The following is a 23,716-nucleotide window of genomic DNA, read 5'->3' on the forward strand; positions in this document are numbered from 1 at the left end:
AGCCAAGAGCCCCTATGAAACGAAGTTGGGTGGGAGGGGGGACATTGAGTAGTAAGATCACTCTTGTAACAGAGATGCCACTCTTGCAGATATTGACAACAATTGGGCCTATAAAATTTTTACCAAACATTGGAAAGACAAGATCTGAACAACTTATCATTGCTGCAGTCTCAAATATCAGGAAATATCATTATTCTCAGGACAATAAATAGACAATAAAGAAGACTCACAGACCAGATTAGCTGCCATGTATCACCAAACAGGGACTGGATCCTTGTCAACACGACCCAACAGAGATTGTCCCCAGAAATTCACTTCATAACCTCAAAACCAAAAACCCACACTGATGGCAAAAAACAATGATGCAAAGAATGAGAGAGAGAGAGAGAGAGAGAGAGAGAGGGAGAGTGAGAGACCTGTCCTATAGCCATACTCAGTGGGTAAAAGCCAAAGAGCTCAATTTCTGCTCATGATACTTAATAGAACATAGGGAACATGAGCCAATAGCTCAATGGGTTCAGATCTGCACCAAGTGCCTGTTGGACGCAGGATTCTACTGTCTCCAATAATATGTCTCAGATGCACTATTTTTTTTTCTTTTTTTGAGACAGAGTCTTACTCTGTTGCCCAGGCTGCGGTGCAATGGCGCGATCTCGGCTCACAGTAACCTCCACCTCCCGGGTTCAAGTGATTCTCCTGCCTCAGCCTCCCGAGTAGTTGGGATTACAGACAGACACCACTGCACCAGGCAATTATTATTATTATCATTATTATTATTATTGTGCGTGTGTATGTGTTTTTAGTAGAGATGGAGTTTTGCCATGTTGGACAGGCTGGTCTTGAACTCCTGACCTCAGCTGATCAAAAGTAGGTGAGGTCAGAAAACATACCCTGGGAGAGGCTGGCACAATGCCCAGAACCGCCATCGCTAGGCCTGGGGTTTTCCTCTGTAGTGGAATACTAGTATTCATGTAGTGCAGGGACAAAACCAATTAGATAGTTCTGGGAGTTAAAAAGAGGTGATTTACAGTGCTATTTGAGAAGGGGTATTAAGGAATTTGCCAGGGCACTGACGCGTGTCAGGTGTAAACCTCAGGTTGAGAGAGAGCTAAGTATTTTCTGTCCATGAAGGTGATAAGCGAGGGCCTGAAGAAAGAGGGACTGGGGAGGACACTGGCACCAGAAATAGGAAAGGGCTTCTTGGGGGTGGGAAGGATGGGTCACGGTGCTATCTATAAAGTTGGCTGGCAGTGGATGTAGGATGTGGGAGTGAGACATCAAACATGAAGCAGTCGCTTAAAGTCTGAAGAAAGACTAGATATATAAACGGCAGGAGATAGTAGGGAAACTGGACCGGCTCCTCATAAAACTTCCCGCCTTCTATCTCCGGGAGGATCGCAGGGCATTTCCGCCAAGACAGGTGAGACTGCGGTTCTGACCTGCGGGCCTCCGTGCATATGCGCTAGGGCACCTGGGGGCCGGCAGAGCCGTTCCCCTACGCAAAGTAAGCGTGTTATGTCTACAACCCAACGGGGACACTGAGAGCCCCAAAGGCCCTGCTTTCTTCCCAGAGAACTGCCCATCTGCATAATTTCTACCTGGCTCTATGAGGTGAGAACACATTCCCCGCTAGCACAGAAATCCTACAAACTCCTGTGGGGGCTGCGCTTGGAAGCAGAGGCTGTGTAAGAGGTGACTGGGGGGTAGGGAAAAACACGAAGATTTTCACACAGGGTGAGAACCCAAGAGACTGGAGACCACGGACCAATCCCTGCAAAAAGCAGCCAGGGTAGAAAGGGAAGAGCTGAGCGGACTTCACGATAGCTAATTTGTGTTACAAAGCCGATACGGCTGATGCTCGCTTTTTCTCCTATGACATGCAGGCGACATGTTACTTCCTATTCCCATAAACCCTCCACTGTAGGATTAACACCTAAGACACCAACCAAGACACAAACCAATACAAAAAAAGATATGACCCTTGGCGTACAGTCTGTTTTTGAAACTCCAGAAAGTCAGGGGAAAGCGCGAACGCAGTCCCCCACTACCACAAATTATGCAGTCGAGTTTCCCACATTTGGGGAAATCGCAGGGGTCAGCACATCCGGAGTGCAATGGATAAGCCTCGCCCTGGGAAAACCACCTTCGTGATCATGGTATCTCCCCTGCCAGGTAAGTATGAAACGTTGTGCCTCTGCCCCGACACAGCCTCATACGCCTCACTCTTTACACACACGGTCACTTGCCCCGCGCACTCCCGAGCCCTTTCCAGCCCTGACACACAGCTGGGATTCTCACTTCCGATCAGCGGTCCTGAACCCGCTCCCAGGGCACGGGAACTCCCTTCGTGGCGAAGCAGCAAGTGGCGAAGCAGCAGCCTCTGCGCTGCCTCATCTACATAGAAGTCGCCCTGTCCGTGATGTCACCGACAGTGCCTTGCCCAGTCCCCGTCTGCCTTTCTGCCACTCAACCGACCAATCTGCTGCCAGAGTCGCCAAGAGGAAGTGACGTCTGCCTCTCCCTTTTTCCCTCCCGCCCCTGCGTCTGTTCTCTCCCAAAGAAGCTGGTCCTTAGCCTGTGTTAAGGAGCAATCTTTCGGTGGCCAGATGGAGCCGGGGCATCCTTCTTCAAATAATGGCTTTTAATTCGCAGACTAGAATGTTTCGGATTACAAAAGAAACCGGTTCTCTTCACATCCTTATCCTTGTGATGCAGCATTCCGCTTGCATTTGGAAGCCGTTTAATATCAGAGAGAAGCCATATTTATGAAAGTAAAGAGGCTGCTCAGATGACTGCAAACCAGCCTTCCTTACTGGTTTTATCACTGGTAATGTTATAAAGACAGTTGTCCAGTTTCATGAATCTTGTAGGTTTTTTTTTTTTGATGTTGTTTTTTTTTCAAAAATCCGTATTGTAGAAAAATATGCTGTCCCAGAAGAGATGATTGGACACTCTCAAGCGTGGTGCTGGACTTTGTCATCTCTTGCACAGCCATCTCCACACCTTAGTGCTTACCTCATGTTAGTTTTTTATATTCTGCAAAGACGAAACCAAAATAATCCAAATTTGACACAAATACCTGGGCTACATCTTATTTGAGATGTTTAACAAATGTCTGGATCATCTTTTCTTATATATTACGCAGGAAACACTGTGAAGTAAGCAAAGTTGGAATGCCCAAGTGAAAGACCATTTGAATATTTACAAGTAGATTTCAGACAGGAATACTACAGGGTGGTCACAGGATAACAAATTCTAGGCAGCAGATTTACATGACTTGAGGCTGTGGGCTGTTAAGACGCTGAAAAACCAGGGTGTGGACCAAGCTGGCTAAGGCTGAGTGGACCCAACGTGGTGCTGGATTGGATGGAGGTTTTACCTAGGCCCTCATTATATGCTCATTAACATACTAAATCACACACCCGCCAGTGCCATGACAGTTCTGAGACCAGTGTTTGATGTAAAAATGGCACCACAGTTCCAAGAAATCTCCACCTTTACCCAGGAATTTTCGTGAACATTCCACTCCTTGGTTAAAGAAACCCATCAAGATGAAACCCCAGAACCCATTATTCTCTCTTGGGTATGCCCAAGCTCCCCTTTCTTGAGAGTGTACTTTTTGCTTTGCAATAAATCTCTTCTTTCACTATCTGCTGACTCATCTTTGACTTTGTTCTCGCGATGGTGTCAAGAGCCTGGACACCACGGCTGGGGTCGAGATCCCACCAGTGTCCAGGGACCTCCCCCAGCCCACCAGTATCAGATTCTATTCCATTGCTCAAATCACAAAACATCGAGTGGAGAGTTCTCTTTGGAGACCGTAAAGTAAAGATTCTGTGGCATGGTGGCCAGTTAGGCCACTGGAAGCATGGCAAAATATTGAAAATGAGGGATTGGGTGACAGTGTAGTAACTGCTGAATACTAAATACTTGATCCAGGCCCCATTCCCTGGAGATTGACAGGGAGACACATTGTCCAGGTAGTAGTGGAGAAATGCTTTCTGGGTATCTGACCAGCCTTTGTGGAAAGAACTGGCACCATCCTGCAGATGTAACCACCTGATGGGTTCTTCCTGACCAATGTACACAAAAATTCAATTCATGGAGACCATGGCACTGCAGGAAAGAGTTTCATTGACACAGGCCAGCCACGACATGTGGGAGACAGAGTTATTACTCAAAGCAATCTCACTGAAGGCTTGGAGGTAAGGGGTTTTTCAAAGATAGTTTGGTGGGGAGGGGGCTAGGGCTTGCGTGGTGCTGATTGTTGGGGATGAAATCACAGGGGTGTGGAAAATGGCCCTCCTGCATGGAGTCAGCTTCTGGGTGGGGGCTAAGGGACTGGTTGATTTTCGGGCCAGATGGTGCCTTCCAGCAGTCAGAAATGCAAAAGCCTGAAAAGACATCTCAAGAGGCCAATCTTAGGTTCTACAATAGTGATGTTCTTCACAGCAGTAATTGGGGAAGCTGCCAATCTTGTGACTTCTGGAATAATGGCTGGTAATTATTTAACGAGGCATACATCTTAGTAGAAATCAGGCCCCTTTCATCCTTCTAACTTGGTGGCCTTTCATTCATTTTACAGGGGTAATTTAGTTTTGGGGAAGGTTATCATTTAAAGCAGCCTTTTTGGCTGTCCTCAACCTTTTTGTCACCAGGGACTGGTTTCATGGAAGACAATTTTTCCATGGAAGGGGGTGGTGGATGGTTTCCAGATGAAACTGTTCCACCTCAGGTCATCAGGCATCAGTTACAGTCTCATAAGGAGTGCGCAATCTGGATCACTCACATGAGCAGTTCCCAATAGGGTCCGAGCTCTGACGAGCAGCTAATGCTCATGCTGATCTGACAAGAGGCAGAGCTCAGGTGGTAATGCTCGAAAGCCTGCAGCTCACCTCCTGCTGTTCAGCTGGGTTCCTAACAGGCCATGGACCAGTACCTGTCTTATGGCCCTGGGGATTGGGGAGTCCTGATTTAAACTATAAACTCTATTTTTCCCAAAGATAGCTTGGGAGAAATTGCACAGGAATGAGCAAAGACAGCAAGCCTGTGAGGCTAGAACCAAGATGGAGTCAGCCATGTCAGCTTTCTCTTGTTGTCATAATTTTGCAAAGGTAGTTTCTGAGGGGCTGCACTGGACACTTCTTAAAAACATGAGACAGATGTTATTGTATTTACTACAGTAGGCAAGAGAGACCAGCAGAGAACTGGGCTCAACCTCGAATACAGCAGGAGGAGTTGAAGATTATAGCCAATTGGCAAGATAAGAAAGTCAGTGGATGGAAAATTACTAAGAGGAACTTGATTAGCTATCAAAGGTGGTTGCGAGGACTCTTGCTAAACTAGACTCAACAGTATTCTTTCCTAAAACTGGACTTGGCAGGCAAAGAAATAACAGAGAAAAGGGCTCAGAGGAAACTACTAAGGTTTGGTCAAAGACTAGAGTCCTTGTCAACTCTACATTGAAGCTTCTGCAAATAAACAAAGACCAACCAAATGAAAAAAAGCAAAAGCTATTTATTCTGAGCTTGCTATAGCAGGGAGTCAGTCACTGTTATTTGTGTTTTGGCAGAGACTTGAAGGCAGTCATAAAGGTGGGAAAGCTTTTTAAAAAGAAAGGCTTCAGGGGCCGGGCACGGTGGCTCACACACATAATCTCAGCACTTCGGGAGGCCCAGGTGGGTGGTCACGAGGTCAGGAGATCAAACCATCCTGACTAACATGGTGAAACCCCATCTCTACTAAAAAATTTACAAACAATTAGCCAGGTGTGGTGGCAGGCACCAGTAGTCCCAGCTACTCTGGAGGCTGAGGCAGGAGAATGGCATGAACCTGGGAGGCGAATCTTGCAGTGAGCCAAGATTACACCACTGCACTCTAGCCTGGGTGACAGAGCGAGACTGTGTCTCAAACAAACACACAAACAAACAAACAAACAAAAAAACAAAGAAAAGCTTCAGGTATGCTTGGATTGGAGGCTGTCAGCATGGTGAAGCTGTTGATAGATGAAGAAAATCAAAGTATTTTACCCCAGAATATATTTCTTTGGCATATTTTAAGATGGCTGTCAGAGAGCCAGCAAACAGAAGGAACTCTGCAAAACTGTCTTTTGTAGGGGAAATTTACACCTGCAGAGAATCTGCATTAATCCAGCTTTATCTTGTCAGGTTTGAGAAATAAAAATAAGCCCTAGGCCCTACAACCAACTGAATGGACTCCCTCTTGGCTGACAGGACCACAGAGAAACTTCGAAAGCAGTTTCTGGATGTGGCAGGCTAGGAGGTTGGACATGCCACCTCAAAACCCTCCCCTCACTAACTGCCATTATGATGCAGGAGAACAGCAGAGGGAATTGGAAGTTGGATAAAAGGCAGAGTGAGTGAAAGCAGAGAAAGAAGCAAGGTGATGGGGTGGGAGAGCAAGAAGCAAGATATAAGGCAGAAGTTGAGCAGCCAAAACAAAAAGTAAGATTTAAAAAAGCAAGCAAGGCTGGGCACGGTGGCTCATGCCTGTAATCCCAGCACTTTGGGAGGCCAAGGCAGGCAGATCACCTGAGGTCAGGAGTTTGAGACCAGCCTGGCCAACATGGCGAAACCCCATCTCTACTAAAAATACAAAAAATTAGCTGGGCGTGGTGGTGCACTCCTGTACTCCCAGCTACTTGGGAGGCTGAGACAGGAGCATCGCTTGAACCCGGGAGGCAGAGGTTGCAGTGAGCCGAGATTGCACCACTACACTCCAGACTGTGCAACAGAGCGAGACTCTGTCTCAAAAAAAAAAAAAAAAAAGAAAAGCAAGCCAGGACCCCATGGCCGGTGAGATCCAAACCAGTAAAGGGGCAGCTCCTCAGAGATAGGCATGTGCATTAGAGAAAAAAAGTATCCTTAACATGACTCCATATGATAATCAGCTCATTAAAACTCATGCATATGGACTGCACATCATGCATGTACTTAAAATTATGGGATGGAGGCAATGTGCAAGCACACAAGGGCCAAAGTAACTAAGCAACCCACCTATCAATCAAAAGGCAAACACTGGCTAACGATTAGGCATCCTTGGGAAGAGAAGAGAAAGAAACACACATAAAAAGACCCAACGTACACCAAACTAATACTGATCTCACATCCCAGAGATCAGCCCACTCTCCCCACTCTGAGACTGTTACTGTGCTTAATAAATTTTGCTTTGCTTTGCTGCTTTGTGTGTGTCATGTACAGTTCTTTGTTTGGGACACCAAGAGCCTGGAAATGCACGGCACCATCTGGCAAGAATTAGGATTTTTTTTCCTAAGGGTTAACAATCCAAGCCTTTGGAGAGACTTGCTTCACTGCTGTTATCAACCAACAGCCTGATGCTTTCCCTCCCTTTTGTGGTTTTGACAAAACAAGCAAGCAGCATTCCCTCCTGATAAGAGACCACCGACCTAGGAATCATTCTGGCCAGACTACAGAGGATGTACAGTGAGGGTTTTCATGTCCATTGCCTCAGATTTTGACGTCAGAGGGCCACAAACTCCACTCTCAGATGATTGCTAACGCCACCATTTTATGAACATGAGCCCCATGGAGAGGCACGCAGCTCAACTGCACATCTGCACATTTTTCCTCTTATAAACATTCATATTGGAATATTATTTGGTACTGCTCCCGTGAAAGATACATTTGCAGAATGGACTCAGATTAGAAGCATTATACAAGCACTATAATGTAGCAATGGCACATCCAGCTCTCTACACTATAGAAATGTCTGCAGGGTAAACATTTCCACAATGACCAAAGATATCTGTACAGGACTGGTGACTGCAGCATTCTTTGTAATCCTAAAACTATGAAACTAAAGTCATCTCAAAAACATTTTGTTTTTTTGAGATGGAGTCTCGCTCTGATACCCAGGCAGTGCAGCGGTGTGATCTCAGCTCACTGCAGCCTCCACCTCCCAAGTTCAAACGATTTTCCTGCCTCAGCCTCCCGAGTAGCTGGGATTACAGGTGCATGCCACCATACCTGGCTAACAAAAACATTTTGAAAAGGGTTAAATAAATCATGCATAAACTGAGGAAAAATACTATTTTCAAAAATGATGGAGAGAATCACTTTCATGATGAATGATTCCACTGGTCACATTATTGATAGAGCAATCAGGAAACCCAGGCACATCCTGGAGGTAATACTGGACTCCTATTACTAAAATATGAAAAAATGGAGACACGTAAATACTCGTTTAAGCGTATAACGGACTGAATTAGAATTTTATCACATCAGAAGTGGGTTCCTAGGTCTCTGTTTCAGGATTCCTTAGTGACACAGGTGTAAACCCGGCATTTCAGGAGATAGCCGGCTAAGAATCTGGTCGGGGAGGTGGGCGGCCCTTGACATGGATCTGTCATAAATTAGTGGCTTGAGACTTTGGGAAGATAAAATCTTCCCCATTTATCTAGTGATTGACATTGCGTGAATGCTTCAAAAGTTCCAATAAGCGTCCCTGGGTGGGCTCGAACCACCAACCTTTCAGTTAACAGCCGAACGCGCTAACCGATTGCGCCACAGAGACAAGCGCTTCCAACTCTACTGGGCATCTAGGAAGGGCGCACTCACTGAACTTCCTCCGTTCCGTCTATTCTCAGGGCCCACCGGGCAGGACCACTGAGCAAGGCCTTGGAAAACCAGAGAGATTAGAGCGGTGAGTCGCGCCGGTCACGTTGGACGCCTGCGTGTTAGGAGATTCTGGAGCCAGAAGAACAGCAGAATTGCCTTCGCCCGCCCTGCCCCTCGCCTGCTGCAGAAGCTTCCAGAAACTCCCTGGTGGGCGACCCAGCCCGAGCTGCCTGGGGCCCCAAGGGAAGCTGAACGCCCTGTGGGCTCCTGGGATGGTTCTTCCCGTTCTTTGCGCCGCCTTCACCCATTGAAGGAGCCTGTGCCCACCCTGCCCAGTCGCTTTCCGGGCCGCTGAGGAGCTTCCGCTGCCATCTTCGGATCCTGTGTTCCGCACGGGGGCTCCACCAGGGCAGGGATGGTGGTGAGGGTCGCTCGTGGGTCCCCTCGCGGGGAGCAGGGTCTGGTACTCACCAGGGCGCACGACTAGGACTTGTGGAATGAATTCATCGTCGCCTTTAGCTTTTAGTCCTTTGAAGAGCCCTGAGAGTGGAAATCAAGAGATTTTTTCCACGGGGAAGTTCTTTTTACAAAGCGTTGATTTCTCGGCACCCGGCAGGGAGGGCAACTGGCAGGGTCTCTGGCGCACCTTCTGCGCGGTGGAGCCACGGGGGCTCAGCTGGGCGGTGGTGCGGCCGTGGGGTGGTAGGTCAAGAGCTGGGAAAGGAAAAAGCAAAAGCTGGGAAAGAAGCCGGGGAGCGGTGGACCAGACATCCAGACCTCCTGAAAGGCTCATGAAGGGGCACAGGCAGGATCTTCTGGAAGTGAGAATTGTTTTGTTTGTTTGTTTGTTTATTGTAGTAGAATGGGGAAATGGAGAGAGAACCTGAAAGAGCCCCAAACTCGAGGACCTATTGCTCCCCAAGAATAACATCTTCCAGAAGAACTAGACAGAAAACTAGGCGTCTGGGAACTCTGAAATCCTTGGAGGAGTAGCATCATCATGACCCTCTGTGTTCCTTTTGGCAAAGGACTTGCTCCCATTGTTTGCTTGTTCAATTGTCTGTCCGTTAAATAAATAAAACCCTTTTCCTATATCTTTAAAATTACGTTGGTTTTATCATTTTATGATTACAAGTAATGCTGCAGTCATCATTCTTGTACACTCTCATTGGCCACTGGTGTATTTCTATAGGGTGGAGGCCTGGAGAGTAGTTGTTCCAGCATAGTGTTTACATAGCTTTTATTTCATTCCGTTTTCTTTCCTTTGTTGCTTTATTAGCTATAACCGTTTTCTTATTTCAGAGGCTGCTTTAGGGTTTCCGGAATACATCTTTAATTTATCATAGTCTGCTTTCTAGTGTCATTATGCCTCCCTTTCTGGCCTTTATCCTAGTGTTATGTATCTTTACTTTATGCACTATAACCTTTGTGATTCATTATTATTACTTTTATTTGTTACGTCAAATATTTTTTGAAAGATTTAAATTATAAGAAAACGTGTAGTACATGCTTTCTAAATGCCATTTCCAATATTCGTTTCTTTGTGTAGGACCACATTTTTATCTGGTATCCTTTTGCTTCTGCCTGGAGGACGCAAGATTTCTTGTAGCGTGGGTTGGTGAATTCTTTTAGCTTCCGTATGTTTTTCAATGTTCTTATTTCACTCACAGTTTTGAAATTTTATTTTTGCATAGAATTCTAGGTTAACTTTTTTTCTCTAGGTACTTTAAAAATGTTGCCATTTATGAAGCATTGTCATTTAAAATATCATCTTTCTTTCCTATGTTTGTAAATATGGCGTAAAGCCGGTTTCTTGTGCTGGTTATACAATTTTCAGAATGTGTATTTAAATTTAAAATATTAAATTGTACTAAAAAACTAAAAATATTAATCATGAATGTCCTAGATTCATCTTAAGTTCCAACAGTGCACTTAAAATGTGCCCAACCTGAGGGTCAAACCTACCTGCTGATGTGGAATTTGTGTTTGTGAGACATTCTCAACAGCATTTGCTTTCCCCAGCCTAGTGATTTTCCTCACATCTGAATGTCTTCATTGCAAAAGGAAACGTTTTTCTTTGCAAAAATACTTTAAAATATTCTTACTTCAAGTAGGTGTACTAAAAACAAATTTCTCAGTTGCATCCCTGAAATCCATCGAAAGCCCGGGAGAGACAATCAAGTGCTTCAGGACCAAGAGTGAAACAGGAGAGGACAAAGCAGGGCTTCTTCACTAGGAGTCAAGCCAAAGTCAACTGATTTGGTCTCCAATGGAGAACGGAACTCGGTTCACCAGCAACGTGAGGACGTGGCCCAGAGGAGACGGAGTTTCCCTTCATGGTGCCTTCAGATAGGAAATCTAGGATTTTCTTTCTTTCCCTTTGATCTACTTCCAACTCTCCCTTTCTGTTTCTTCAAGATCTTTTTCGGATCCCTGGGTGCGAAGGACATAAGGGGCCAGTGGCCTTCCCTACTGGTCCCTCCTTGACTGGGTGTCTTTGGAGCCCAAGCTCACCCGGAACATTACTGCCCGCTGCAGACAGTGAGAGGACAAAGGAGGGCGGTGGGTGCAGTGGGAACCACAGAGTCACCGTGCACCTGCGCCCGTGGGCTCCTAGCAAATTGAATAAATGCCCCCTGAAGCTTCTCTGCAGGTCAGAGGGAAGGGGAGGGTGGCTGCCGACCTGGCGGGAGAAGCTTCAAGAAACATCGGGAGGACTTGGCCCTGCCCCTGGGCCTTGAAGACAGGCCTGGCCAGGCTGATTTTGATGGGTAGGCCCAAAGAAAAGGTTCGAGGGCAGCCCAAACCCCGACCCTGAGATTAAGGCTCTTAAGTGTCTGACAGTTTTGAGAATCGTCAGTAGAATCGATCCTGCCTGTATCAGGAGACTTCTTTGCCAAAATTCAGAGACCAAGAAAGAGAAAGATTGGGCAGATCAAAATCTGTCATTAACCAAACAGGAAACATAAGTTTTCTGACAAATTGAATGTGTGCTGTGAGAAAAAGACTAGCCTCAAGGAGAACCTGGTTTTTTGGCTTGAGTGTAGGGAAGAATGGAGTTGCCACCAACAATGGTGCGTTGAAACGGCAGGTGCATCAGGCTGTAGATGTGAAGGAATTAAAAATATTTTACCCCAAACTACATTTCTTTGACATATTTTGAGATGTCTGTTCAGAAAGCCAGCTGCAGAAGTAGCCCTGCAAAGTTGTCTTTTGTTGGGGAGATTTGCATCTGTAGGGAATCTGCATTGATACAGCCAAGTCTTTCCTTGTCCAGATCTAGGAAAGATGAACTGAGAGTCTGACACCTGTAAAGGTCTGAAAGAAACTTTTAGGGTTTATTCTCTCTGAGAGCTGCTACCTGTAAGGTTTCATTTACATATTAAGACCACCTTTGCTAGCCGAGCCTCATTTTCTCTCCCTGCCATCACTTATCTTGTCCACAATAAATGGATATACCTCTGACTCTGATTGCACCTGGTTTTGGCCATGCTTTGAGCCCTCATTCATTCTGTTATCTCGAGATGGTATATAAGCTTCTGCATCCCATTGTGGGTAGGGGAGGGTAATCACTCTGTGACTCTCCCCATGCACATGTTAGTACATTTTATGCCTTTTCTCCAATTAATCTGCCTTTTGTGACTTGATTTTTGAGTGAAACTTCAGAGAGTTAAGAGGGAGGGTTTCCATTGGCCCCTACAGTTTTGGAGCTGTAAACAGGATAGGAAAGCTCTGCTCTTCTGGAAGCTGCAGTGAAGAACCCAGGATATGATCAGCTATCATAAGGGTAAGAATTTTTTTACCAGCCAGGCTCCTGGCCTCCTTCTCTGTGTGGAATCTCATCAAGTGGATGGTAAAAATCACTGTTTCTTTCTTTTCCCTCTCCAAAATCTTGATTAATTGGAGAAAAGGATTTGTGTGACTAGTCTTGGGTGTAGTGACTCTGGTGTGCTTTTTGGTACTTTGTGGTACCAATTCCTATTGTTTAATCCCTTTCTTCCCAGAAATTGTCTGTTCCTTTGTCTTTGTCTCTATGTGTTATTCTGTCATAAAAGGGGGTACTGGTTGAGGTTCCTTCTCATCTTATTTTATGTCCTTGAGAGCTTGACTTGTGACCAAGTGGAAGCGCTTTCTCTTGGTTTCCACTATCTGGAAAGAGGCGGTAACTTTCAGGTCATACTAGGTGGCCTGTCTGAAAATGGCTGGGAACCCCAGCACACTTTTTGTTCTGACCATGACAAGCTCTTGGGGTTTGTCTTAAGAAGTCCCATCCCTTTGAGGCTTTTGTCATCTCAATTCTTGTTGCCTGGTTAGTTCTAGGAAAGCTCAATCCCAAGATGGCCTACCTGGTATCATGGATTCACAGGTCTGTGACTGGAAGTCCCCATAAATTTGTGGGTTGCTGGAGGCAAACATCATCCTTACCCATCTGTGGTCTACTCTACTAAAAATACAAAAATTAGCCAGGTGTGATGGCATGCGCCTATAGGCCCAGCTACTCGGGAGGCTGAGGCAGGAGAGTCATTTGAACCCAGGAGGCGGAGGTTGCAGTGAGCCAAGATTGTGCCACTGCACACTAGCCTGGGTGACAGAGCAAGACTCTATCTCAAAAAAAAAAAAAAAAGAAAGAAAGAAAAGATTTAAGAGAACAATTATTTTAATTGAATACATTTTGTCAAGATTAACTCAACTTTCCCCTAGAGTAGTGAAAGAATAAGCAATCGTAATTTAGATTCTAAGTTACTGGTCTTTGAGAAAGTGTGAAAACCAAAAAGGTGCCATAAGTCAAAAAGAGCAAAAGTCCTAATTTTCAAACTGATGAAAATAAAGTACTAAAAAATTGAAATCATCATAGTTCATCTTGGTCCTTGGCAAAATACAAATGTATTGATTCAAATTATAATATCTTAGCTACCCTATTGTGCGTAGCTCTTACCACTGAGGAGAAAAACCAAACCCAAACAAAAGTGTGTTCAAGTTGGCAACAATGTTTACAAACCTGCAAAATCTCTTCAGCCTATCCCTTAAACTCCAGACTTGGTATTTACTAAGCTCTGTGGTGTACAATACCCACCTTAATATCCATTCTTGCACAAGTTCTGTTAGGTATAAGCCAAGATGACATGAGATTTTTTTTTTTTTTTTTTTTTTTTTACCCTCTCATGCCTATGTTTGCTTTTGCTTCCACAGACCCTTCTGAGTAAGGACTATCCTCAGACTACTGGAGGCACTTAGTCACAAGCTTGCCTGAGGCTCAGAGCTGGCAATACCTGGGAGTTTATGTCAATCCCACAGCACCCAGCAACCCTGCCTGCAAAATATTTACCCATGATTGACAGGTGCAGGTGTATGAAAGCCCAGCTCCTTGACTTGAGGGGCACCTTTGTGGTGAATTAGGTTTGGCAAAAGGGAATCCAGAGGCCAACTTTGTAAAAATGCAGATAGATAAATAGAAAGAAATCTTTGCCTTGGAAGTCCAGTTGAGAAAGAGAGTGATTTACTTGAGACTCTGAAAACAGAGACTAAAATCTGTACTTTTTCATGGGAAAGAAGCCTATGGTGAAAGAGAAACAAAGAGAAAGGTAGGAAATAGGGTGGGTCTACTCCGTAGCTTTAAACCACTCTGTCATATTATAAAGCCCGGTGAGGTTTTAACTAACACAAGTGTCTGGACTCTACACATAGAGATTCTGATTTAAACGCTTCCAGGTGGGTGGAAGCCACTAGTAGTCTTAAAACACTCCCAAGTAATTTTACCATGTGGCTAGAGATGAAAAGGACAATCTATCTACTAGAATCTCAAGTAACCATTATTGAAGTGCCCCAAATGTGCAGCTACCTCATAGAAAAGGCTTAACACCACCCTTTGATGGAATTTCCCTTCCTCTCTCCATGGTCTTGTCTGCATAGCATGGAAAATAGAGAAGAGATAAAGAGGTAGATGGAGAGGTTGAACCTGTAATTTGCCTATGTAGAGCAGTTTCTCAAACTTTTCTGACCACAAGATGCAGTGAGAAATATACAATTCTTTGTGATCAGTTTTTTTTTTTTTTTTTTTTTTTTTTGAGATGGAGTCTTGCTCCGTTGCCCAGGCTGGAGTGCATTGGAATGATCTCGGCTCACTACAAGCCCCACCCTCCTGGGTTCACACCATTCTCCTGCCTTAGCGTCCTGAGTAGGTGGGACTACAGGCACCCACCACCATGCCCAGCTAATTTTTTTTTTTTTTTGTATTTTTATTAGAGACGGGGTTTCACCGTGTTAGCCAGGATGGTCTCAATCTCCTGACCTCGTGATCCACCCGCCTCGGCCTCCCAAAGTGCTGGGATTACAGGCGTGAGCCACTGCGCCTGGCCTGTGATCAGTTTTTAAAAAATCTTTTACTATGTGTAATCCACCCTACCTAGAATTTAAATAAAGCCTGCAGTAGTAAGCAGTCGACTATATTGATTTCACAACCCCTAAGTGGTTCAGAATTGCAATTAGAAAATTTTTCCTTTTGGCCAGGTGTGGTGGCTGGAGCCTGTAATCCCAGCACTTTGGGAGGATCACTTGAGGTCGGGAGTTTGAGACCAGCCTGACCAAGATGGAGGAACCCCGTCTCTACTAAAAAAAAAAAAAAAAAAAAATTAGCTGGGCGTGGTGGTGCATGCCTGTAATCACACCTACTTGGGAGGCTGAGGCAGGAGAATTGCTTGAACCCCAGGGGCTGGAGGTTGTGGTGAGCTGAGATTGCACCATTGCACTCCAGCCTGGGAAACAAGAGTGAAACTGTCTAAAAAAAAAAAAGAAAATAAATAAATTTTTACTTTTGCTCTGCCTTTTTATCAAGCAAAATCCCAAAAGAACATTTACTATAAACATCTTTCTGTGAATCCTTATTTCTGTCCCAGCCACCATGACCCAATAATCTCTAGAGCCTGTTAGTGTTCTCCAGATTGAAGCCTTCCCTCTAACTGCTCCTAAACTCTGTGATGTAGTGGAAAAGTTTTGAGGCCTCGATTCTCATCCCAGGTTTTTCACCTACAGATCATACGGCCTTAGCCTCTTGACACCATTGTCTCCTTATGGCCAAAGATGGAACTGTACTTGGGTGGTATCTGAGCACCCTGTTGGCTTTGACATTCTAGGGCTCTTCCCTTGGCACCACTCTCTTATTTAAAAGGAACAGGATGTGGACTTAGGAGGGTTATTTCTCTGCAAACTATCCTCTCTTTCTTATGACAAGCTATTTCTGAATGTGCACATTTGAGGCTAAGCAAATTCCTTCCTGGGAGGTTGAAAGACCCTTATTTCTCTCCAGAGGAGTATTATGGAGAGTCAATTGATGCTGAGGAGGTGGTAGAGACCTAGTGAACTCATCTGCAGTGGCTTTGAGCAAGGCTTTTAGAATCATAAGGTGGGTGGGGTCCTGTGTCCTACACCACAGGCCAGCTAGTTCATTTCAGGAGACTTTTTTTTCAATCTATTATTACTATCTTCTTCTAGACTGTAGTTCACTACTGGAGATTATCCACTTAGTTACACTCAGTTTGCACCTGGCCTGTATCACCAGTCAGCTCTCACTCCAGCCTCAGGTATCAGCAAGACCTCACCAAAGATTATTGTTTAATTTTGTGTGTGTGTGTTTTTGTTTGTTTCGGGTAACAACTAATGTTGGAACTATGAAAAGCTCTTCTCTACTTTTAACAAAGCTTAGTCACAAACAGTTCCCCAGTTGATGAGAAAAACTAAAACAACAGAACAATTGAAAGTCCAAATCTGCAAGCTCATCTCTGAGAACCGAATTCTACAGCCACTCCAGATTTGTACTCCAAATGGATAGTTTGATTGTAGAAATCACATCCCTTCAGTCTGCCAATGTGATAAGGGCCCAAGAGACAGTGATGCCTAGATTCATAGATAATCCCCTTTCCCCCATCCTATATATAACTGGAGTCAACAGCAGCTGGAGGAAAATGGCAAGAACTTGGAATCAAGATTAGGTTAGAATAACACTGCTGTAGACAGTTTATCAGCTCTTCAGCATACGTCCGTTTTCCTTGAAGGATGAGCCTGTAGAAACCTCTGACAATAAAGTTTATTTTACACCCATTCCCTTGCCTATGATTTTTTCATACAAATCACAATTATAAAACTTTCTTGCTCCAGCTAAAAGCAGGAAACTCAATCATGAATGTGTTCACTAAATATATACCACAGAATGATAACAACCAGTCTGATTGCATCACTTGATTCCAAAATTAAATGTTAGCCCTCAGGGGTGCAACTACATGTATCTCCAACTCTGGAAGCCACAGGCAACATATTCCTGTTTCCTTGCAGGGAAACAGATCTATAAGCAGGGCGGCAGTCTGACACATGTACATTCCTGGGAAACCCAAGGAAACAATGATAGTGACGCAGGGCAGGCAAGCCCCCAAACTGAAAGAGTTTTGCTAATGTCGCGATTGGCTTTCTATGTTATTTGAAGACTGAGATCTCCATGAGGAGTGAAGATAGGTAATGCCTAAGGCTGAGGCATGACCTCACTGGGTCACCTTAGCTGTAAAGTGAGGTCAGTTGTCACCTTGCAAACCTTTTGGTAATCCAAATCTTGGAATGATTTCTTTAAGAATTTAGACACTTCCAATACTTTTCCTGTCCTTGTGGGGAAAGCTTCTATCCACCTGGTGAAAGTGTCTATAAATACTAGCAAATCTTGTAGTCCCCTGTAAGGTGGCATCTGGTTTAAGTCTGTCTGCCAGTCTTCACCATGGTATGTTCCTTGGTGTTGTACAGGTTTAAGCAGGGATCGGGGTATGGGGTGGCTTCCTGAGTGGTAACCCTTTTTATAGTTTGGAACAGTCCCTTCCGCAAGAATATTTAGGAAACTAATTTAAATGGAAAATCCTGTCCCAAATGTGAGGAATCATGAAAATGTTTAATTATTTCCCATCTGTCAGCCTCAGGAATAGAGTTTGTTCTTTTCTAGCAACCATCCAGATGGGTCTCCCTGGAAGCCTTTTACTCAGTCCCTTTAATTTCCTTAGGGGTATATTATGGTGTCACTGACACGGATGGAGTACCTGGTAGTAGCGCAGCAGCCTGAAATACCAGGGTTTCCTTAGCTGTGGCCTTAGCTGCTCTTTCCACCAGGGAATTTCCTCTAATAATAAAAGTGTCTCCCTTCTGGTGTCCCCTGCGGTGAGTAATTGTTATTTCTTTGGGAGTTGGACAGCATCTAAAAGTTCCAAGATCTGAGTAAAGTTGTGTGGGGGATCCCTTGGCTCTTGATAGTCCCCTTTCCTTCCCTATGGCTGCATGAGCATGGAGCACCAGGAACCCATATTTAGAGTCAGTCAACACATTGACTCTTGAGGTTTTGTTCTTTTTTTTTCTTTTTTTGAAACGGAGTCTTGCTGTGTCGCCCAGGCTGGAGTGCAGTGGCATGATCTCAGCTCACTGCAATCTCAGCTCACTGCAAACTCAGGGATTCTCATGCCCCAGCCTCCCAAGTAGCTGGGATTACAGGCGACCCCCACCACACCCAGCTAATTTTTGTATTTTTAGTAGAGACGGGGTTTCGCCATGTTGGCTAGGCCGGTATAGAACTCCCAACCTCAGGTGATCCACCCACCTTGGCCTCCCAAAGTGCTGGGATTACAGGCGTGAGCCACCGTGTCCAGCTTAAGTCTTTTCATGGTTGGAAGGCCCTAATTAGAGCAGCTAATTCTGCTTTTTGAACAGAAGTCTGAGAAGGTAAACCCTTGGCCTCAAAAACTTCTTGTTGGCTAAGCTTCCTTTCTTACTCCCTCATGAATATAGCTATTTCCATCTCTAAACCACTCAACATTTGGGTTAGACAAGAGCTTGTCTTCAAGGTTGGGCCTTCTAGAGTAGAGCTCTTCCGTGGTTTCCACACAGGAGTCAATGAGTTTGGGATCTGTTTCTTGAGACGTGAGGTGCAGCAACAGAGTAGCAGGGTTTAAAAATCAGGACACTTTCAGGGTAACATCTGGGGTGTCAAGCAGAAGGGTCTGATATTTAAGTAACTGGCCCCCTGTTAGCCATTGGTGTACTTTTGCCTCTAGGACCCTCTGTACTGTACTTCATGGGGTGGCAGGGGGTGGGGGTGGGGGTGGGGTGGTATGGCATGTAATTGTTGTCCCAAGGTAAACTTACTGGTTTCGTCTAACGATAGAGTGATGGTAGTCACAGATCTCAAGCTTCTTGGTCACCTAGCTGCCACCTGGTCTAGCTGTTTAGAGAAATAAGCCACTGGTCCAAAGCAATTCCTCAGCCTTTGAGTTAGAACATTCGAAGCTGTCCCTTGTTATTCATCCACATAGAGGGTGAAAGGTTTTTCTAAGTTCGAGAGTCCTGAGGCAAGGGATGTCCCTGGCTTTTCTTTTAAGGCTAAGAATGCCTTTTGACAGGTTCCAAGCTCCGCCTCCTGGGTTCACACCATTCTTCCGCCTCAGCCTCCTGAGTAGCTGGGACTACAGGCGCCCGCCACCACAGCCAGCTAATTTTTTTGTATTTTTAGTAGAGACGGGGTTTCACCGTGTTAGCCAGGATGGTCTCTATCTCCTGACCTCCTGATCTACCCACCTCGGCCTCCCAAAGTGCTGGGATTACAGGCGTGAGCCACCGCACCCGGCCAACAAGTTTTTTTTTTTAAATGAACAGAGCATCAGTGAATGATAGTGCAAGTTTAAGACACCTAATAGACAAGTTAAAGGAGTCCTCCAGGCAGAAGGAAACTGACACCAGATGAAAATGTGGATGAAAAAAAAAAAGACACTAGAAATGACATCTACATAGGCAAATATATAATTTTAACATCTGACTGTTTAGCTGGGCACGATGGCTCACGCCTGGAATCCCGGCACTTTGGGAGGCCAAGGAAGGCGGATCACTTGAGGTCAGGAGTTCGAGACCAGCCTGGCCAATATGGTGAACCTTCCTCTCTACGAAAAATTCAAAAATTAGTCATATATGGTGGCGCAAGCCTGTAATCTCTGCTACTCAGGAGTCTGAGTCAGGAGAATCGCTCGAACCCGGAAAGCAGAGGTTGCAGTGAGCCAAGACTGTGCCACTGCACTCCAGCCTGTCCGATAGAGTAAGACTCGTCTTAAAAACACCACCACCAGCAACAAAAAAGCAAAAACAAACAAACAAACAAACAAACAAACAAACAAAAACACATCTGACTCTTGAAACAAAAGTAATAGAGATGGATTGTAAGGTTTATAACAGGTGTAAAGTAAAATGCATGACAATAGCATAAAGGCAGGGGGAGGAGTCATGTGAAGAGGTATGATGCCACTTGAAGGCAGACTGTGATGGGTTAATTTTTGTGGAAAGCAAGGCAGAATTTTTGAAGTTTGTTTCTTCAAATACTTTCTGTTTCCCGTACATACAAGCTAGTTTGTTCTGCAGAGATCTCATTTTCTAGGAGGCTCGGAGGGGGACCTTCTGCTGTCTGTCCTCATGGGATGCACAAGACACAAGGGAACAGTCTTTCACTTTTAAATACATTGATGGGTCTGAGGAGATAGATACAACTGCATTTTTTTTTTAAATGAGGTGGGATTCTCATTGGTCTTGAACTTCTGAGCTCAGTGGAGGCTTCCCCTACTTCAGCCTTTCAAAGCGTTGGGATTAATAGGCATGAGGCACTGCGCCTGGTCACAACCAACGTTTAAAATCACGTCCCTGGGTGGTCTGTAACCACCAACCTTATGGTTAACAGCCGAACGCGCTAACCGATTGCACCACAGAGACAACCTCAATCGCTTGCTTTCATCTCTATATAGATTAAGCAATCACTAAACCCTAGGAGTTGCCATTTGCTTTCTGCGGGACAACTGTGCAGACTACAAAGCTTCAGAAAACCGGAGAGGCTGAGTCGACTAATCGTGTTGTTGCACGTTAGAAACGCGTGCATTGCGTGACTCTGAAGCCAGAAGGGCGGCCGAATGGCCTTCACCCTGCGTTCACCCTCGCCTGCTTCAGAAGCCAGTGCCTCTGGAAATGCCTGGATCTGCGACCCCAGCCTGAGCCAAGTAGGGCCCAAGGGAAGCTGAACTCCCCGACGTCTCTCATGGTAGCTCTTTCTGTTCTTTTGCGCCGCCTTCAGGCAATCATCTGTTCCGCTTGCTCTCCCTTCACTCAACTCGGCTTCAGTAGATGGGGTCGGTGGGGCGGGAGCGGGAAAGAGGCAGGGGAGTCAAAAGGGAAAACGTGAAAAGGAGGAGGGAGAAGCAGGGGAGACCAGGACTAGACAATGGGACAGCCCAGGATGCCCGTGCAGAGGGCACCGGCTGGATGCAGAGAAGATGGGACATGTATCAGATCGGAGAGGAGGAAATGGGGAGAAGATGTGAGAGAAAATCACAAGAACCTGTAGCTGCCCAAGAATAAAGAAGTAAAAATCGCATAATGTTTTTACATTAATAAAAAAAATCGGGGGACCAGGGGCGGTGGCTCACGCCTGTAATCCCAGCACTTTGGGAGGCCGAGGTGGGTGGATCACTCACTTGAAGTCAGGAGTTCGAGACCAGCCGGGCCAACATGGTGTAAGCTCGTCTCTACCACAAATACAAAAATTAGCTGGGCGTGGTGGTGCACGTTTGTAGTCTCAGCTACTTAGGAGGCTGAGGCAGGAGAATCGCTTGAACCTAAGAGGCGGAGGTAGCAGTGAGCCGAGATCGTGCCGCTGCCCTCCAGCCTGGGCGACAAAGCGAAATTCTGTCTCTCAAAAAAATATATAAATAAATAATAGAGGGGTGGGGAAGCAAAACGACGGGCAGTAGGTGTGGGGCGCCTTGGGATTCTCTAGTGGTTAGTAGTCTGCGTTGTGCCTGCAGCAACCTCTGTTCTAATCCGAATCCTGGTACAGTCAGACTCTATCTTGGACCCACTGGGGCGAACCCACGTGTCTTTTGGTTTGCTTTTGATTCCTGCACCAGCTGAGGCCTTTATCTGCAGCCAGAAAGCCGGAAAGCAGGGTTTACCCCTGGCCCCACAGCGCCATACTGTCTGGGGAAAAGAAGGAAACCCAAGAGTACACAAACAGTGGCCCAAAGAGAAACCTTCCAAGTGCTCTATGCCTCACCGTTTAGCAGAAAATATCAAGCAACTCTCAATCTAGCTGGTCTGTACCTTCCACGAATGAAATAATGTATTTATTGCAGTCTTTCTGGTTGAGATATTTCAAATATTTGGTGGAGCTTTTAATGAGAGAGACACTCTCGAGTGTGGAAGAAAAAAAAGAGGGGATGTGAAGATAAGGCGACTTTAGGACAGAAAAAAAAAAAGAGACAAGGAAGCCATGTAAACGTTTTTGGATGGGCGTGAGGCGTTGTCAGTCTTGAACCCCGTTATGTCAGGTAAAGAGCGCAGCCTCTTCTACCACAAACACCATTTCCCACATGGAGGAAATCACAGGGATCAGCAACTCTAGAGTGAGATGAAGAAGCTTCACTCTGGGAGAACCCCCTTCGTGACCACGGTCTCTCCCCTGCCAGGTAAAGTGGAAATGAGCACATGGCTTGCAGGGACAGCACAGCCTCCTCGCCCTGGCCGGTCGCTCAGGGTCACCACCCTCCCCACTGCCGCCCCTCGCCATTCTTCCAAACCACTCTCCACCAAAGATTCCACCGACAGTCACCCCACAAGACAACCCAGGCCGCCTCTCAGCAGCGGCTCCCGCCCCGCAGCCACCGCGCCCTCTCACCCCCGCGCGGTTCTGCCCGCCGCCTCTGCCGAGTCTGCGCACTTCACCTCCCTGGCTCCCGCTCTCCCCTGAGCTTACAGTGGACTCGGGGTTCTTCCGAACCCCTCTTGGGAGTACTGAATGGAAAAGGGGGAGCGTGCGCAAGTGCTTGGTAGAGTGTAGACGTCGTGGGATTTGACTGTGGTACAATCGCTTCGACGTCCTAGTGCTGATTTTTCCACCTGCCTTCTGCTTAGGGCACCGGCAGCAGTTTTCCGTCTGTGCCTACTCCACCTGCTGTCCTTGTTGGGTCAGCGAACATCGCCTCCCTCTACCGCTCAATCAGCAAACGGGACCGCCCTCGAGGACCTCACCCGCCGCTTACCCCCCTAACAAATTCGCGGGCATCGCCTCCGGTCGCCTCTTCCCAAGGCCTAACGAGCGCCTTCGCTGGCAACGGAGGTGAGGAGGCTCCGCTGACTGGCTGGTGCCCGTGTCCGGGGCTGCCACAAACGCCACGACTTGGCTTGGCCTCTCTCTTAGTTATTCGCAGCTCAGCCCGATGGGCGTCTCCGGGGTGGCGACGGGAAAGAAGGTGGGCTTATTGGGTGCAGCTCCACGGGGGCTGGCATCTCTGCCGGGCTGTGTACACCTGAGCGAGAAGCTCAGTCGCTCTCTAAAGCTGCTCCCGCGGATGACGGACACGGAGACAAATAGGAACGGTGTGTCGTGAGAGGTGGTCCACAAGCACTTGCCCTCCTTCGCCCGGCTTTAACCCCGCTGCGGAGACTGTTCTGCTTCTGGCCCTTGGAGCAGGCCGGCTGACAGCGTAGTGAAGGAAGATTCCTGCGGGAGGGCGGCCAGTGTAAAACAATTCCCTGACCGGGAATCGAACCCGGGCCGCGGCGGTGAAAGCGCCGAATCCTAGCCACTAGACCACCAGGGACACACAGGAGGGAGCTTTCTCTCCCTTCTTCTGTCAGAAGCGACAGCTTCCCTGAGCTCTGGGAGGACTTGGGCCTTGTGAGGGTCGCTCTTTGCTCCTGGAGTCTCTCACAAGGCCATTCCCTCCCTGCTTTCTTCAAAAAAAGAGCCTGCAAGCGACACACCGAGGGCTCCGCGAGGGACACCGAGGCCACGAGTCCGAAGGCCTGGAGCGAGTTGCAGCGACCCGGCCGCAGCTCACCACTGGACTAGAGATGCGCCTTTGCGAGGTGGCAGCAAGTGACCAGTCGGTCGTGCGTCGCCAGGTCCGGAGCCGCGCACCAGGTTGCCAGGAGGAGGCGGGAGCGCGGAGGCGCCCGGGGTGAGACGGGGGCACCCTCTGCATCATAAAGGACCCAGACGCCAGCACCCTCAACGTCATAAGGAATCAGACGGATGCGGAAACCGAGACGGGCTGGATGGGAAACTCTTT

The 23,716-nt window shown here is 46.6% G+C and overlaps 1 long non-coding RNA gene, 3 other non-coding genes and 1 pseudogene across 4 annotated transcripts, besides 10 other annotated features; all 5 read right to left on the bottom strand.

Annotated features, from left to right (window-relative positions):
• Positions 1,313–1,818: an enhancer, noted in NCBI's record as "OCT4-NANOG-H3K27ac-H3K4me1 hESC enhancer chr1:16839913-16840418 (GRCh37/hg19 assembly coordinates)". NCBI's record gives its function as "activates a minimal SCP1, AML or CMV promoter by ChIP-STARR-seq in naive and primed H9 embryonic stem cells {active_cell/tissue: H9 hESC(naive and primed)}" and the evidence as "EXISTENCE:reporter gene assay evidence [ECO:0000049][PMID:30033119]".
• Positions 1,819–2,324: an enhancer, noted in NCBI's record as "OCT4-NANOG-H3K27ac-H3K4me1 hESC enhancer chr1:16840419-16840924 (GRCh37/hg19 assembly coordinates)". NCBI's record gives its function as "activates a minimal SCP1, AML or CMV promoter by ChIP-STARR-seq in naive and primed H9 embryonic stem cells {active_cell/tissue: H9 hESC(naive and primed)}" and the evidence as "EXISTENCE:reporter gene assay evidence [ECO:0000049][PMID:30033119]".
• On the bottom strand, positions 2,017–2,180 carry RNU1-1 (RNA, U1 small nuclear 1). The gene has a single exon (NR_004430.4). It is a non-coding gene; the product is annotated as an RNA, U1 small nuclear 1 (small nuclear RNA).
• Positions 2,069–2,178: a silencer, noted in NCBI's record as "silent region_333". NCBI's record gives its function as "represses an Ori minimal core promoter by ATAC-STARR-seq in GM12878 lymphoblastoid cells {active_cell/tissue: GM12878}" and the evidence as "EXISTENCE:reporter gene assay evidence [ECO:0000049][PMID:35858748]".
• Positions 2,325–2,830: an enhancer, noted in NCBI's record as "NANOG-H3K27ac-H3K4me1 hESC enhancer chr1:16840925-16841430 (GRCh37/hg19 assembly coordinates)". NCBI's record gives its function as "activates a minimal SCP1, AML or CMV promoter by ChIP-STARR-seq in primed H9 embryonic stem cells {active_cell/tissue: H9 hESC(primed)}" and the evidence as "EXISTENCE:reporter gene assay evidence [ECO:0000049][PMID:30033119]".
• Positions 2,399–2,688: an enhancer, noted in NCBI's record as "active region_266". NCBI's record gives its function as "activates an Ori minimal core promoter by ATAC-STARR-seq in GM12878 lymphoblastoid cells {active_cell/tissue: GM12878}" and the evidence as "EXISTENCE:reporter gene assay evidence [ECO:0000049][PMID:35858748]".
• On the bottom strand, positions 8,480–8,553 carry TRN-GTT5-1 (tRNA-Asn (anticodon GTT) 5-1). The gene has a single exon. It is a non-coding gene; the product is annotated as a tRNA-Asn (tRNA).
• Positions 20,149–20,674: an enhancer, noted in NCBI's record as "H3K27ac-H3K4me1 hESC enhancer chr1:16858749-16859274 (GRCh37/hg19 assembly coordinates)". NCBI's record gives its function as "activates a minimal SCP1, AML or CMV promoter by ChIP-STARR-seq in primed H9 embryonic stem cells {active_cell/tissue: H9 hESC(primed)}" and the evidence as "EXISTENCE:reporter gene assay evidence [ECO:0000049][PMID:30033119]".
• Positions 20,675–21,200: an enhancer, noted in NCBI's record as "H3K27ac-H3K4me1 hESC enhancer chr1:16859275-16859800 (GRCh37/hg19 assembly coordinates)". NCBI's record gives its function as "activates a minimal SCP1, AML or CMV promoter by ChIP-STARR-seq in primed H9 embryonic stem cells {active_cell/tissue: H9 hESC(primed)}" and the evidence as "EXISTENCE:reporter gene assay evidence [ECO:0000049][PMID:30033119]".
• Positions 21,760–22,517: an enhancer, noted in NCBI's record as "H3K4me1 hESC enhancer chr1:16860360-16861117 (GRCh37/hg19 assembly coordinates)". NCBI's record gives its function as "activates a minimal SCP1, AML or CMV promoter by ChIP-STARR-seq in naive H9 embryonic stem cells {active_cell/tissue: H9 hESC(naive)}" and the evidence as "EXISTENCE:reporter gene assay evidence [ECO:0000049][PMID:30033119]".
• LINC01783 (long intergenic non-protein coding RNA 1783) lies at positions 21,786–23,547 on the bottom strand. The gene is made up of 2 exons (NR_135764.1): positions 22,321–23,547; positions 21,786–22,104 (listed from the first exon to the last, which is right to left on the bottom strand). It is a non-coding gene; the product is annotated as a long intergenic non-protein coding RNA 1783 (long non-coding RNA).
• Positions 21,976–22,119, bottom strand: RNU1-6P (RNA, U1 small nuclear 6, pseudogene; annotated as a pseudogene).
• Positions 22,518–23,274: an enhancer, noted in NCBI's record as "H3K4me1 hESC enhancer chr1:16861118-16861874 (GRCh37/hg19 assembly coordinates)". NCBI's record gives its function as "activates a minimal SCP1, AML or CMV promoter by ChIP-STARR-seq in naive H9 embryonic stem cells {active_cell/tissue: H9 hESC(naive)}" and the evidence as "EXISTENCE:reporter gene assay evidence [ECO:0000049][PMID:30033119]".
• Positions 22,773–22,822: an enhancer, noted in NCBI's record as "active region_267". NCBI's record gives its function as "activates an Ori minimal core promoter by ATAC-STARR-seq in GM12878 lymphoblastoid cells {active_cell/tissue: GM12878}" and the evidence as "EXISTENCE:reporter gene assay evidence [ECO:0000049][PMID:35858748]".
• Positions 23,174–23,245, bottom strand: TRE-TTC4-1 (tRNA-Glu (anticodon TTC) 4-1). The gene has a single exon. It is a non-coding gene; the product is annotated as a tRNA-Glu (tRNA).
• Positions 23,548–23,716: the final 169 nt, after the last annotated feature.

This window comes from Homo sapiens, chromosome 1 (assembly GCF_000001405.40).
Source record: "Homo sapiens chromosome 1, GRCh38.p14 Primary Assembly".
NCBI classification, from domain to species: Eukaryota; Metazoa; Chordata; class Mammalia; order Primates; family Hominidae; genus Homo; species Homo sapiens.